This window comes from Homo sapiens, chromosome 14 (assembly GCF_000001405.40).
Source record: "Homo sapiens chromosome 14, GRCh38.p14 Primary Assembly".
NCBI classification, from domain to species: domain Eukaryota; kingdom Metazoa; phylum Chordata; class Mammalia; order Primates; family Hominidae; genus Homo; species Homo sapiens.
In genome coordinates this window covers 101,324,723-101,339,590 of record NC_000014.9, presented here as the reverse complement: position 1 = coordinate 101,339,590, position 14,868 = coordinate 101,324,723, and the positions used below count along the sequence as shown (strand labels likewise).

The 14,868-nt window shown below is 46.4% G+C and overlaps 1 long non-coding RNA gene across 1 annotated transcript, besides 1 other annotated feature; it reads left to right on the top strand.

The window, feature by feature from the left end:
- The first annotated feature begins 4,097 nt into the window (after window positions 1–4,097).
- Window positions 4,098–14,039, top strand: LOC124903387 (uncharacterized). The gene is made up of 7 exons (XR_007064342.1): window positions 4,098–4,386; window positions 4,671–4,750; window positions 4,866–4,952; window positions 5,207–5,358; window positions 6,728–8,400; window positions 8,491–11,378; window positions 12,418–14,039. It is a non-coding gene; the product is annotated as an uncharacterized LOC124903387 (long non-coding RNA).
- Window positions 5,953–6,153: a silencer, noted in NCBI's record as "peak2251 fragment used in MPRA reporter construct". NCBI's record gives its function as "represses an SCP1 promoter by STARR-seq MPRAs in K562 erythroleukemia cells {active_cell/tissue: K562}" and the evidence as "EXISTENCE:reporter gene assay evidence [ECO:0000049][PMID:32103011]".
- Window positions 14,040–14,868: the final 829 nt, after the last annotated feature.

Genomic DNA, 14,868 nt, shown 5'->3' with positions numbered 1-14,868 from the left:
GTCTTTTTTCTAACAGCTAAATAAGCATTGACCTCAAGATAAGCAATATTAAAACAATGGCAGCTCCACCAGATGCTGACTAACTGATCCCTGTCCCGCAAGCCATAACTACAGCTTCGAGTGAACAAGAGACTGATTTCAGTAACTTTCCCCTGATGGGAGACCACCCTCCAGGGACTGGTTCTGGCTGGTCCATGGGGACTGTGCACTGAGTGCCTTGGAGTCCCAGCTGCACCTTGCGACATATAGGGCCCAACTGTAAAACATTTAAATGTGAAGTCTTCACTCCCAGGTGAACATGTGTGTGTTGATGGATGTAACAAAGATGTTTGCTTACTACACGTGCACACAGCCCCTCTTCATGAATCTTCCCAGCTCCTCCTATAACCTGCTAAATCTGTACGCTTAGCCAGCTCCTTCAGCATAGTTTCCTCTTTTACTGTTCCTTCTTCAAAGTGCCTGTTCCTGATTTAACAAGTTGTTAAACAGAACAGCCTACAGGTTGTAATCGTTTATAAAAAATAAAACTCCTCTTTTCTAAATGTATAGATCTCGTGATTTTAAGTCAATGGTATCATGGCAAAATTTGTTACCTGTCCCCCAACTCCCCACTCCCATTGGTTTCAAAGTTTCAGGACAATTTCTATAATTAATAAGAAGCTCTGTGGCTGGGTGCAGTGGCTCATGCCTATTATCCTAGCACTTTGGGAGGCCGAAGCGGACAAATTACTTCAGCCCAGGAGTCTGATACTAGTCTGGCCAACATGGTGAAACCCCATCTCTACCAAAAATACAACAACAACAAAATTAGCTGAGCATGGTGGTACATGCCTGTAATCCCAGCTACTGGGGAGGTTGAGGGTGGAGAACCCCTTGAACCCGGGAGGCGGAGGTTGCAGTGAGCTGAGATTGCACCATCGCACTCCATCCTGGGCAACACAGCAAGACTCTGTCTCAAAAAAAAAGAAGAAGAAGCTCCATGACACATTACACCACCTGAGACTCCCCAGACCCTGGTCAGTGCAATCGCGTCTCAGCAACCTGTGTGCCGTTCTGCGGCTCCTTTCCAGCCTCCGTCTTCCATCCTTCCCCTGCCTCCTACCTTTCCTCTTATTCTGTCTCTTTTTAAGACCCAGTTTACCTGTCGCTTACTTCTCTTGGAATTATTTTTACTGCTTATGAAGATTGGTTGTTATGTTCTAGTAGCAATGACAGATCTCCAAGCCATTTCTTCCTTGGAGAATTTCTCTGCTTTTAAAACAGGCCCCTGGATATTTGATAAAAGCAGCTGCGGAAGCTGTGAAGAGTGGCTGACACCTTTGTTTCTAATGATATTTTAAAGATGTTCCCATTGGGAAACGTGGAACTGTGTTTGAGAGGAAAACAAAACCCAAAAGCTTATAAACAATGATATTAATGATGATGGAGACTTTTCCTCATAATTAAATAAGCAGTCCTAATTTTATAAAATACAATTATCAGGAGTTTAGATTTTTAATCTCCTGTGTATTTTGAAGCATGGCTAAAATATAATAAATCCTAATTGATTTCTTCCAAACAAGCAAAGCCTACAAAAATCCATGGAAAAAATTTACCTTTAAAAATAAATATTATAAAGTCCACACAAATTCACTATTTCCCAGCAGAAAAAGAGCTAGCCCTTTAGAGAAGGGACCCTCCTTGATCTCCAGGAATGACACTAAGGGGGAGCAGACCATTCCTATTCAGAAAACGTGAGCTGAGCCTTGTCATTCCCTTTTCCTCTTGGAGCAGAGGCTGGCTAGTGGAGGTCAGAAGACTGAGGTCCTAGAATGGGAAATTTGGGCCATGGAGAAAAGGAGGCAAAATCATATGACTTGGTGTTAAATGTTTTCATGGCTGTGGGAAATAAACCCATAAGTTCACCCTACAGCACCTTCCTCTACACTGCTCATGTGGCTGTTTCTTCAAACCAGACTGATGAGCTATTTATTTTATTAATTTGTTAAATATAGATGGATGCTGGGCTGACAGCGATGAATAAGAGAAAGCTCAGCCTGCTGCCTCGATGGGGTTTATCTGCCACTGGTAGAGACGCCCAACTCACAACTAAATAACAACCAATGATTTCATCTCATTTGCCACCGGTGACTTGCAGGAGAGGCTGCAAAGCCTGGAATGAGTGGGCTTGACCCCAGATTGAGGCTCGGGAAAGAAGGCTTCCTTGAGGAAGCCATGTTTGAACATTCGAAGGATACAGGCAGGTGCACACAAGGTGGGGAAGGGCGTTTCTGGCAGACGGCATAGCATGTAAAGGCCCCCGAGCAGGAAGGGCAGAATGAGGAAAGAAAAGACAGACAGACAGTGTGGGTGTAACCAGGTGAAAGGAGAGCAGTTCATGGAGCCAGCCTGCAGGGGAGGGCACTTCTGGGCCCACAAGTAATAATGTTGCCTCATGGTGGCAATATTTTGGCACCTTCTTCCGGCCACAGCAACTCCTCAAATGTTACTACTGGCTGAGTCGAGCAATTTTGTCTTCAAGGTCTTGAAATGCCTTGGAATGGAATCACGTGGCCTGGGAGCATAGCACCCTCCTCCCCTGGGCGGCAGTCCTGGACTGCTCACCTCTTCCCCTGGCCACTGCTCACTCTGTTCCTTGCAGTCTGAGGTACTTCTTGAAGAGATGATGGCAACCAACGAGGAGCTGAGGAGTGTCTTCTTCATCCCTGACATCTGTTCCTGATACACCATCTGCCCTAGACAACAAGCCCACGTCTTTCTTCTTGTTCTTCCTTCTCCACTTCTTGTTTGGACTCTGGGAGTGGAGGAAGTCATTATGCCTCACGCTCGGGGAGCCTGCAAACATTCTGCAGAGGAAAAGGGGCTTGGGGAATTACTTTCTGGGCTCCTATCGTCTCTTCTTGACATTATTTGCTTGGGGGCTCAGCTTTCCAGCTGGCTGGAGCAATTCAGAGAGGTCTGTCCTTCCCAACAAATGGAAGGGAGGGGCTCAAGGTTACTCTGTCCTGCACAGGTGGACATTGGCCCAGCAGGCTGCAAATGTAGATGAGATTTTACATAGACTCTAAAAATCACCATGACATTATCTAACATTAAAAAAAAATCCTGCAAGCAAATTGGACAGAGGACTGAAGCAGGGAGAGATGCTGGGAAAACCTGTTTTCTTCTCAAAGCACTATCAGTGACATGCCATATGGTTTTTGCCAAACCATTTGGCTGCTTTAAGATTTTCTATTCCCAAATGTAAAACTGAGCTAATAGAATTTGCCACCCCACTGGGATATCACAAGCACTAATCAGAATGTCTATAAATGCCTTTGAACTCCTTTGGAAAAACATGCAACCAAAATACCAAGTGGGATTTATATAAATGTCATGCTAACCCTAGATCTTCATTTTGACAGTGGGAATTTAGGGCTTACGTGGATGCATTTATTACAGTTCTCACCGAAATTACACATGACTGGATGCCTTGAGCTTTAATTTTTTTTTTTTAACAAGACTTTGCAACCTGCCAGGTTGAAACTCAGAAATTTTTCAAATGTGAATTCCGTTATGAAGAACAGTTTGCATTGAGGAAGTTTTCTTTAACTATCTGGGTCTATCCCATATGCCATGGCCATTGAGGTCCTGTCATCACCTTTGGTTTCCTTGAACTGAAAATAAGACAACCTGATCTTTTATCCTCAAATCTTTGGGGCGTGCTATGGTGCATTATCTTAATACTCATGCATTCTCTGTCCTTTCTGTTGGGAGAATTGAGAAAAAATTTCTATCGACAAATCTGCAAAGGTTCATCCTTTAGAAAGCCCCATGACTGTTTATTTGACTCTCGGATAATTATACTTAAGTCCATGTGTTTACTTCGGAGATCTCCAAAAAGAGTAGAAAAGATCTAGCAACCCCAAATTAGTTTAGGAACCAGCATGTCCCTTGCTTTAAGGAACACAGTAAACATTTCAAAAGAGCATGCCAGCTCATTATCTAACTCTCTCTTCAGTGACTTCAGGGAAAACAGCAGCAGTTAAGCAATGTTTGCCAAAAGCAAATCTGGGGACGGGTGTTGATTTTAAAAGAGAAGGAAAGAAGAGCTAGTTGCTCGCTGCAGGTTCTCCTGGCTCGGCGGCGCGGAGGCAAAGGCCTGTTTCTGCAAAGACTTTGTGAGGCCCCATGACTCTTCCTCAACCTCCCGACCGCTGGAGGTCCCTGATAGTTGAATAAGCTAAGTGCAATGTGCCCGCCCAGTTCTTTCCTGGAAGATGAAACACAGCTCCCTGAGTCAGGAGACAGAAGAATGGATAAACATTCCTCAATTGCTGTTGATAGGTTCTCACCCCAGAACCCAGGCAGTCGGCCTCATGCTCCAGAGTGCAGGTCCCATAAGGCGTGAGTATGGGGGTGTTTTCCACCATGACATCAAGTGCATCCCCACACTGCCCCCAAACGTAATTAGCATGTCCTATGGCTGTTGGAGATTCTGGCTTGTTTCGAGAACTAGCTTCCTGGCACTCTAGGGCTCAACTGCAAAGAAATGCTCTTTTGTGATAACGCATCTGGACATCCAGTGCAAGAAACTGAGCATTAGTCCCCCTGACCCTCCCACCCCCCAGAAAGACTCCAACTGAAAGGTTGCACAATGGCTGATCAAAGTCCACCACATTTCTTTCCAGGGCTACGATTTTGTTCTGTCTCCACTCTGGGGAGTTGGAAGGCTGGAGCACGGACGAGCCATCTCTCCCCCTACCTCCTGGTGATGTTTGGAAATCTTAATTTTGTTTTATAGGTCACAGGTCAGCCCATCCATGCCGATCCTTGTAATTGGACAGGACGTGCTTTGTGTGGTCTGATTACATCTTTTCTTTCAGACCCAAGGGGAGCCGTCAATTAGAGCCGTGCTTGAGCCTAAGGCTGACCTGAACCGTTTGAAGGCAGATCTTCCATGGAGTGCCCCGGTACTACTTCATTTCCAGGAATCTTAATTACAAGGCATTACTCTGATGGATTGAATGTATTAAGTAGCCTCAATTCACCCCAGTTTGCAGCCCTTTGGGAGGCGGCTCCCCTCCCATCATTTTCTGCCCCGCTTTGCTGCCCCAGTGCCATGGCACCAGGAGGGCTTTGTTCCAAACCAACTTTGAGCTGTGAGTATTATCAGAGGCCCCTCCCCTGCCTGGAGGCCTTTCGGAAACTACTTTATCTCTTGCAGGTCCTTTTCTGGAAAGGTCAAAGGGATGAGAGGGGTCTCTGCAGTGTCCTGGATCTGGTTTCAACCTCACCTTCTCCATGTATGAGAAGACAAGTCACTTGGATTCACCATGCCTCGGTTTCCCCAGATGGCAAGCAGGACTCAGCCTTTTGGTGAGAATCAGATAAGACTTAGAATGAGATGAGAATTACATGTGAATGCACAGTTGGGACGTGGTGCGTATTTCACTGTGGGGCTGTGACTGCCAGGCAGACCTGAGATTGCTTCTGAAGAAGAGCCGCTGACTGGTTCGTGGGCCATCTCGGCAGGATGTGCACTGGGAGCAGGTGCTCCTGACCTTCCTCCATGGTTCCTGCCAAGTCCTCAGTGATACGGAATGCTAGCCAAGCCCCTGGGGGAAGGGACACAGGGCCCCTCTGAAATTTCAAAGCCGGTTTGCACAGCAAGTTCCAGGAGAAGGTGGGCACATTTGCATAGCCACCAAGGAGCCTCTTTGTTGGAAGGGAATCAAGGCAGGACCCTCCTCCTTTTTTCAATTTAATAATGAACAGCCGGGCATGGTGCTGACTTGGGGCTGCTGGCAGGGACAGGCACCAGCGTTGCCAATGGAGAGCTAGCTAGCTATGAGAGAAATTCAGGGGCAGTGCCGGGGGCTGAGTGGGGGTGCCAGCAGTGTGTGCTGGATGGGAAGTGGGGCTGGGGGGCCTTGCTAGGAGCAGTGGCTACCGATGTGTGAGCAAACCAAAGGAGTTGTCACCCTGGAACCTGCTCAACAGAGCACCCGGTGATCACCCTGCTAGGACATCCTTGCGGCTATGGACAAGTGCCCATTGGGTGACTCAGGCACCTTATCGGAGCCCCTCCCCAACCCCATGTGGTGAGTGCAGTCGTATTCACTCTTTACCAAATAGCAGCTTAGCATCCACTTTTCTCCCTTTTTCTTCTGGGTCACCAGAGGGCTTAAGTGTGACTGGTTGCAGACGTGGCACTTGTGGCCGTGTAGGATGCCACACGTGGCTGATGTGGAAGGGGCACTGCAGGTGTGACGGATGCCAGGCACTGAGGAAGCAGCTGCATGCCCTCTGGCCTCACTGGTACAGTTTTCCAGGTGCCGTCTCACACCCTAAGCTGGCCAAGGCATCCTTGGGGATGGCCCTGGAGCAGCGCCTCCCTATCTGCTCGCTGCAGAGGTGACAGCATTTAATATGGCAAAGGCTTCCCAGGGGCCAAATGGAGAGGTCATCAGAGCCTCGTGGTGAGAGCCAGGTCCAGATTTGGCTTTCTGGAAGTGAACGACTAACATGATCCACCTATGACCACAGATTGTTCTCTGAAATAAGTCACAACTTTGAAAGAATGAGTGAGCTTTCTCCTGGGATTTGATTTGGTTAGAGGGTAAGGAGCACACTGCTTTGGCCACACTGTGGGTCTCTAACACGGTCTCCAACCCTTTGTTCCATTTTCTCCCCTCCCTCTTCCCCTTGTCCCCCTCATTTTCTTTCCTTTCCTTCCTTTGAACAGTACCTGGTCCATCAGAGGACGAGCTTTCACGTGTTAGCCAACACCTCCGTCATCACCATCATTGCCATGATCATCGTCCTCATCACCTTGACACGCTGAGCTTTGTAGCTTAAAAACAAAATGCCTTTAACAATGTGCAACAGGTCTAAGATGCCACCTTTGGGATCAGATGGGAGTTTGGGATTATTTCTATTTTCCAATTGTTCAGCCCCCTCCCACTAAGTGCGAAGCGGAGAGCCATTAAGTTGCAATGGATTTGATTCACCACGTGGCCCCTCAAATCCTTTCTGGAACAAGATTGGATGTAAAAATAAATCAAATAAATGCATTTTCAGCGTGTGCAGCCCAGCCCAGAGCTCCTTGCAGATGACTTCTTCCTTTCAAGCATGTGCCCAGCCAGTGCCACTAGGAAAGTGTCAAAGAGAAAAGCCGGCTCTGGCCCCGGGTTGCATTGGAGCAGTGGATTGAGCTCTTCAACTCTCAGCACTTCAACACTCCGCTTGTCCCCTAAGGGTTTTCTGAAGGTCACTGATGCTGGCAGGAAGTGTGGAAAAAGGATGTTTATACCTGGGGCCGGGAGATGGCCTCTCTCAGGCTGGGAGAGACTGGCAGAGCTGCCTGATAATGAGAACAATGCCATCCACACCATTGTGAGCACACGGTAAGCCTCAGGCATGTGGTACACCTGAGAGGCGCTTCTGTGTCTCCTGGATTGTTTATGACAATCATGACAAGCAGCCACTGCCTTCCCATTTCACAGCCAAAGGAAGCATGGTGTGGGCAGATGCAGTTGCAGTTTGTCTCCAAGGAAGGAAAGTGGCTGAGTTGTAAGTGGCTGAGTTGCAGGCTGGACTTCGGTCCATATTATTATGGGTTGAACTGTGTTCCTCCCCCCAGATTTATGTTATGGTCCTACCTCCCAGGACCTTGGAGTGTCACTTTACTTAGAAGTAATGTAGTTGCAGAGGTAATTAGTTACGATGAAGTCATGCTGGAATGGGGTAGGCCCTCGTCCAATAGGACAGGTCCTTATCAAAAGGGGAAATTTGGAGACAGACCCGCACTCAGGGTGGATGCCACCTGAGGATGGAGGCAGAGGTCAGCGTGGTGCTTCTACAAGCCAAGGAAGGCCAAGGATGACCAGTGAGTTAGGAGAAGCCGGGAGAGGCCAGGGACAGATCCTCCCTCACAGTCTTAGAAAGAAGCAGTCCTGCTGACACTGCAGTCTGGATCTTGCAGCCTCCGGAACTGTGAGCGAGTACACTTCGGCTGTGTAAGGCACACGGTCTGTGGTGCTTTGTGAATTACGGCATCCCTGGGAGACTGACACAGACATCAAACCAAACCTGTCCCCTTTCCACTGTATTTCCTTGAGCTTTAACGGAGCAACGAGAAGACTTTGAAGGCCCCCTTGAGTCCTCTACAGGGTGAGGACGGAAAGGAAGCAGGCCTGGGCTCCAGGGTCCCAGGGCTCTGGGAGAGGACTCTTGGTGCCTGCTGGTGGCTGTTCCCTCCTCCTCTCTGTCAAGCCACTTTTCCCGTTTCTGCACTCGCTCTTGGGCTGAGACTCCTCAAGAGGGAACTCCCTTGGTGCCGCCATCTGCGGCCGTGGGAGGGATCAGAGTGGCCCAGCGGCCATGCAGAGGGTGCGCAGTGCTGAAGAAGTCATGGAGGTGAGACCCACTTGTGAGGCTTTTGAAAATGTTCACTTTTGGATAATGAGCTTTTATTTATTTATTTATTATTTATTCATTTATTTTCAGCAAACTGATCTCTTACTAGAACGAAGTCAACAAGAGCTACCCTTGGACTCTGGATGCCTGGGAGGGTCTGGAGCCGTCGGGCAGAAGGAGAAGGTGGAGCGGGTCTTCCCGGAGGCCGGCTCCCACGGGGGCGGCCAAGGCTCTGGGCCTCTCGGCATGCCTCTGCGGATCCTGTTGGATCCAGAACCGTCTGGATCACCTGAAGAGTTATTTGATACCAGCTGATTTTCTAAGGGGACAGCCGGGTGGGGATATCATAGGCAGGCACACTGGCTTCAGAATTAGAGGCCAAAAGTGTGGACTCTCTCAGCCACTAACTCAGTTCTGCTCTCTGGCAAAACCCTTCGCAGCTCGGGCTGCCCTGTCTGTGAGTGGAGGTGGGCAGCTCCCGTCTCAGAGTCCTGGTGGGGGTGAGGTGGAAGGCCCCAGGGGCGGCACCCTCCAGTGAACTCCGTAGCTTCCTCCCCTTCATCTCCCACGTTGTTTACAGTGTAGCTAGGGGTCAGGACACTGTCCCTATTTCATATGCTTTGTTTGGCATTTTCGGTATTTAAGCCTCTGTCAATTCAATCAGACTTCGCTACAGAAAGGGCAAGATACCAGGAAATGCAGACAGTGCCTAAGCATCGTTCCTCATCTCGAACAGTGGTTCTAAGTTGACTCTGTGGTGTATTTCTAGTGGCAATACTAGATATTTTCCTTTATAGCAAAAATGAGAATCTTTATTAAAACAACTATGTATTATTATTTAACATCCTGATTCCAAAGTGACAGCTATATGGCATGGCTTATTAAGAAAGTTGATATCTAGGTGCTTTGACAGTTTACTAAATCTTTTTTTAAAAATTTATTTATTTATTTTTGAGACATGGGGTCTTGCTATATTGCCCAGGCTGGTCTCAAACTCCTGGCTCAAGCAATCCTCCCACTTTGGCCTCCTAAAGTGCTGGGATTACAAGTGCGAGCCATGACACCCAGCCCAGTTAACTAATTCTTGATGATTGAAAGCTTTATAGCCCTAGTCTCACCTCACTCTTTAATGCCTGCTTTCCACCTCTGAAGCTAGAATGTTCCTGATGCATACGTGTGGGTCTAGGGTGGTGAGTGGGAGTTTTCTCTGTCCCTGATCTCTGCTAATAATATTGAAGGATACAGGCCTAGTTTTTCACCATCCCTATTCTGAACTAGGGAGGAAGGAGAGAGAAAGAGAAGGGGGCAGTGGAGAGAGAGAAAAAGAATGAGAGAGAGATTGAGAGAGGAGGCAGGCAAAACTCCTATCTATAGGCCATTTCCGTGCCTTTGAGAATATTAATTCCTGTGGCTTCTCCTGGAGAGAATGAACAATTTTCCACTCTCATAAAGAAAAAAGACAATTTCCTTCCTCCCAATAGGAGTTTGCAGGGGCCCTGTGCTGCTCTGGAAATTGCACGAAATGTCAATACTATAGACAGACATATACATTAAGCTCTTCTTAGCCTGGCTCCTTAACAACCACTCTGGTGTCCACAGCCTGCCTTAACGACACACTGCCTTAGTGGTGCGGTCCAAGATGACTGGTTTTAAAAAGAGCTGTGTCCTCCTGGTGCAGACAATCTCATGACGACAATGTGTTAGGCAGGAAACATGTGGGTCTTCAAGCAGAATTCCCGTGACTCTGAGCTGAGACTTACCACGGGGACCCTGAATTACTTGGAACCTTGTGCTTTCAGCTTTGGAGGGTGCGATGGGGTGGGGGGGCCTCTCTTTTAGCAAGATTTTAAGCTCATGAGAGGCACGTCCTGCCCTGTGCCTCATTGCCAGCAACCTCTGTAACCCTCTAGAACCTGAAACTTAATGATAACTGTGTGGGGAGGGCCTGCCAGAGGGCTTGGCTTTGACACTTGTTTATGGAGCAGGCAGGCGTGTTGCACCCCTGTTTGCAAAAATGGGGCTGATTTTATTCTTACTGTGAAGGTCTTTAGCTATTTTCTTCCAGAGAAGTACTACCTTTCCTGTTCTCTCTCTTTTCTAAACGTTTCTTTGAAATATAATACATAGGCAGAAAAGTGCATAGGAGTGTACAGCTTGATGCCTTTTCATTGACGGAACACACCTGTGTAACTGGCATCCAGATCAAGAGACAGAATATCCCATAACCTCTGAAATTGCCCCACTCCCCTGCTCCCCACCACGGTAAATCACTAGCCTGCCCTCCAATGATACAGAGCAGTTTTGCCTGTTCTTGTACTTTACATAAACGGAGCTACACAGTATGTGCCTTCTTCGCGCCTGTTTCTTTTGTTGCAACATTTAGTCATTTAGTCAGATTTAGCCACAGTCTTGCCTGTGGTTTTCAATCCTTCATTCTGGTTGTTATATGGTAATCCAATGCATGAATGTACTACAGTTTATCTACTCTACTGATGAGGAACACGTAGTTAGCTTCCAGTTTGGGGCTATTACAAACAGTGCTGCTGGGAATATTGTAGTTTACACTTTTTGTTGCATGTCTGTGAGCGTGTCTACTGGAGGGCATACCTGGGAATGACATGCTAAGGCCAAGGGCTCGTTAATCTTTAACAGACAGATGCAACCAAGGCCATGACAGTTTGCAACGGCCAGGAGGGAGAGTCCTGCTTGGGTACATCTTGGCCATACATTTTGGTCAACACTTGGTATTTTTCTGGTGCACATTTTCGTTATTTGCCTTTTCTTTTTCCTCCCCTCTCCTCCAGAAATACAGCCATTTGGATTGACAAAGATGCAACAGCAATTCAATGGCGGAATAGTCAGTAGTCGGTTTAACCAATGGTATTGGAAAAATGGGACATCCATATGTGAAAAAATGAACCTGGGCCGGGCGCAGTGGCTCATGCCTGTAATCCCAGCACTTTGGGAGACTGACGCAGGTGGGTCACAAGGTCAAGAGATCGAGACCATCCTGGCCAATATGGTGAATCCCCATCTCTACTAAAAATACAAAAATTAGCTGGGCGTGGTGGTACATGCCTGTAGTCCCAGCTACTGGGAGGCTGAGGCAGGAGAATTGCTTGAACCCGGGAGTGGGAGGTTGCAGTGAGCCGAGATGGCGCCACTGCACTCCAGCCTGGTAACAGAGTGAGATTCCGTCTCAAAAAAAAAAAAAAAAAAAAAAAAAAAACCTGAACCTAGACTTCACTCCTCATATACTAAGAGCGTGTGTATGTGTTCTTTTCAAACACCTGTGGAATATTTACAAAAATCCTGTTAGGAACAAAATCTCAGCCAAGTCCCCAAGGCAGAATTCACTAGGCTAATTTCTCTGACTTCAACGGAAGACAATTAGAAATTAGTATCCAAAGAATGTCGGCGCTAAGAGGCGGAGGGTTTTCGTTGTTGTTGTCCGTGGCTATAGCCCCAAAGCCTAGAATAGTGCCTGGCATCAATTTCTGAATTAGTGAAAAACGTAATGAGGCATACTGATTAGAACACATCCAATAAAAATTAACAGAGGAGCTAAAGTAACGATATGTATTGTTTATTGAATGTCTAGAGGTACATTTTCCAGGCTCTGTGTAACATCCTCATGAAGAATCCAAGCCCGTTCCTTCTGCTCTGTATTCTCATTGTCTTGGCCTCATGGTCCCAAGATGACGATGATGATTATACTAGTATTAATAACTATTATTATTATAAAGATAATGATAGTTCGTATGACTTGCTTTGTGCCAATTGTTGTTCTGAGCCCCTGACGTATTGTTATACATTACATGCTCACATCTGTCCATGAGCTAGGTGTAATTTTTCCTCATTTGCAGATGGGAAAATAGAGGCATAGAGCGATTCAGTAACTTGTCCAAAGTCATACAGCTAATAATTGGTACAGCCAGGAGTTAAGCTCAGGCATAGCCCATAGTCTGTGCTTACTTTCTAAGTTTTATTTTAACTCCAGGTGTTGTATTTTCACAGCCAAAGCAGGAAGAAAGAGGCCACATGAGGCCACGTAGCCACAACAATCTCAAGGGAGGCCGGGAAATTAAGTATCTGACGAAAAAGAGCAGGAGTTCCACCTTAAATGAAGCAGGAGCCAGGCCTGAGAGCAGGACGCACTGCCATGCTGAACAGAGGGCCTGGTCCCTAAAGCAGGAAGGAGTCAAGGATCGCAGTCGGGATTGACAAATGATATCTCTGCCATATTAAAAAATAATCTATCTACTTGCAAATTTGAAAAAATTCTAGATAACTTGGGTTAAAAAGAAAATGAACACTTTGGGAGGTTGAGGCGGGCAGATCACGAGGTCAGGAGATCGAGACCATCCTGGCTAACAAGGTGAAATCCCGTCTCTACTAAAAATACAAAAAATTAGCTGGGCACAGTGGCGGGTGGCTGTAGTCCCAGCTACTCGGGAGGCTGAGGCAGGAGAATGGCGTGAACCCGGGAGGCAGAGCTTGCAGTGAGCCAAGATAGCACCACTGCACTCCAGCCTGGGTGAAAGAGCAAGACTCCGTCTCAAAAAAAAAAAAAAAAGAAAGAAAGAAAATGAAAATCTATTTAGAAATAATTGGGAATAGATTAACTAAAATTCAGAAGAGGAGAAAAAATCTAAAGAAGGGGAAAAGTCTAAAGAGAAGGATAACCCATAGAAAAAAATGGAAGGGTAATCAGAGGACTACAGGCCCACACTGCTGTGCAGGCATATTCTGCATTTCTAAGGAATAATGACATTCATATTAATATTATACTTATAAAAGCTATTCCACAGAATATAAAAAGATGATCTCCAACTCATTCAATAAAGCTAGTATTACCCTGACACCAAATCCAGACATAACTAGTGCAGAAAATATATACGCCACCCCACTTGTGCAAATGATACAAAAAAATTCCAACTAAAACATGAGCAAATACAAGAATGCGATGTACTAGAAGATCACATTTTTCCTAGGAATGAAAAGATGGTTCGAGGTTAGGGAACCTATCAGTGTAATTTCCTGCAATAACAGTTAAAAGAGACCGACGATATGACCGTCTCAGTAAACATAGCAGATAGTGTGTTGCTGCTCCATCCTCTACCTGACCTTCTGAGGTCTTCTTGCAGGGATTAGAAGTCTGGAAGCTCCATTTCCCAGGCTCTCTGGCAATGGTTCCAGTTTAGTTTCTACCACTGAGAGGTACTCATTAGTTTGGCAAAAGGTGAAGAAGGCTGGACTGGAGATGTGATTGCTGTTGCACAGGTCACAGACTGCCTGAGCCTGGTTCCACACCATTCACAGAAGACTATCATGGGAATCCTCTTGGAGCTGTGCAACGTGCACGCCCTGCCTTGGGGCAGGGAGGGGTTCTGCAATATAATTTTTGCAGAAAAGAATGGGCATCATCTTTTCAAAGTATTCGGTACTAAGGGTTCCCCCTGAAAGATGTAAGTTTCCTTCTGTTGGCTGAAATAATATAAGAAATGGAAAAAGTACACTTTCAAGAATTTCAATTTAGATACTGTTTGTATTTGTGTGTGTATGCAAAACAGTTCTTGTATTTTTATGTACAAGATTTGGCACAATAAATGCTGATTTTCTTGGGGCTGTGGATAACATTTCTGGAGCGGTGTCTCACTTGTTTACATAGATTATTGACTTGCAGGAGTTCTTCGCTCTGTGTCAAATGCCTCTGTGTTAACTGGTTAGAAACTAAACAAGTTAGACCTGGCAGGCTTCAAGTCTCTGCAGGCAATAATAGACGTTATCAGTTATTGATATCGAACATCTTTATGGGCAAGCATTGTGTAAGTTGCTTTAAAATGTCATCTAATTTAAGGTTTGCTATTGATTGATTGATTCAGTGAATTTTTAAGGGGTAACTCCTGTGCAAAAAACACTGAACTAAGGCCAGAAGATGAATAATAAGAATGATAATAAGCCAAATGCGGTCTCTGCCCTCATGGAACTTACAATGTGTCAGAGAAGAATCTATGGAAATACAATTGGGGGCTGGGTGCCGTGGCTCACGCCTGTAATCCCAGCACTTTGGGAGGCTAAAGCAAGTGGATCACAAGGTCAGGAATTCAAGACCAGCCTGGCCAAGATGGTGAAACCCTGTCTTTACTAAAAAATACAAAAATTAGCTGGGCGTGGTGGTGCACACCTGTAATCCCAGCTACTTGGGAGGCTGAGGCAGAGAATTGCTTAAACCCAGGAGGTGGAGGTTGCAGTGAGCCAAGATCACGCCACTGCACTCCAGCGTGGGTGACAGAGCAGGACTCCATCTCAAAATAAATAAATAAATTAATTAAAAAATAAATAAATAAATAAAATAAAACATGACTGGGGTCAAGACTAGGTAAGTACATTCCTCTGGGGCTCCAAGAAGTGAGTGAAACGGAAGCCCTGGACAGGAGACAGGGGGCAGCCCTCAGGATTCCTGGA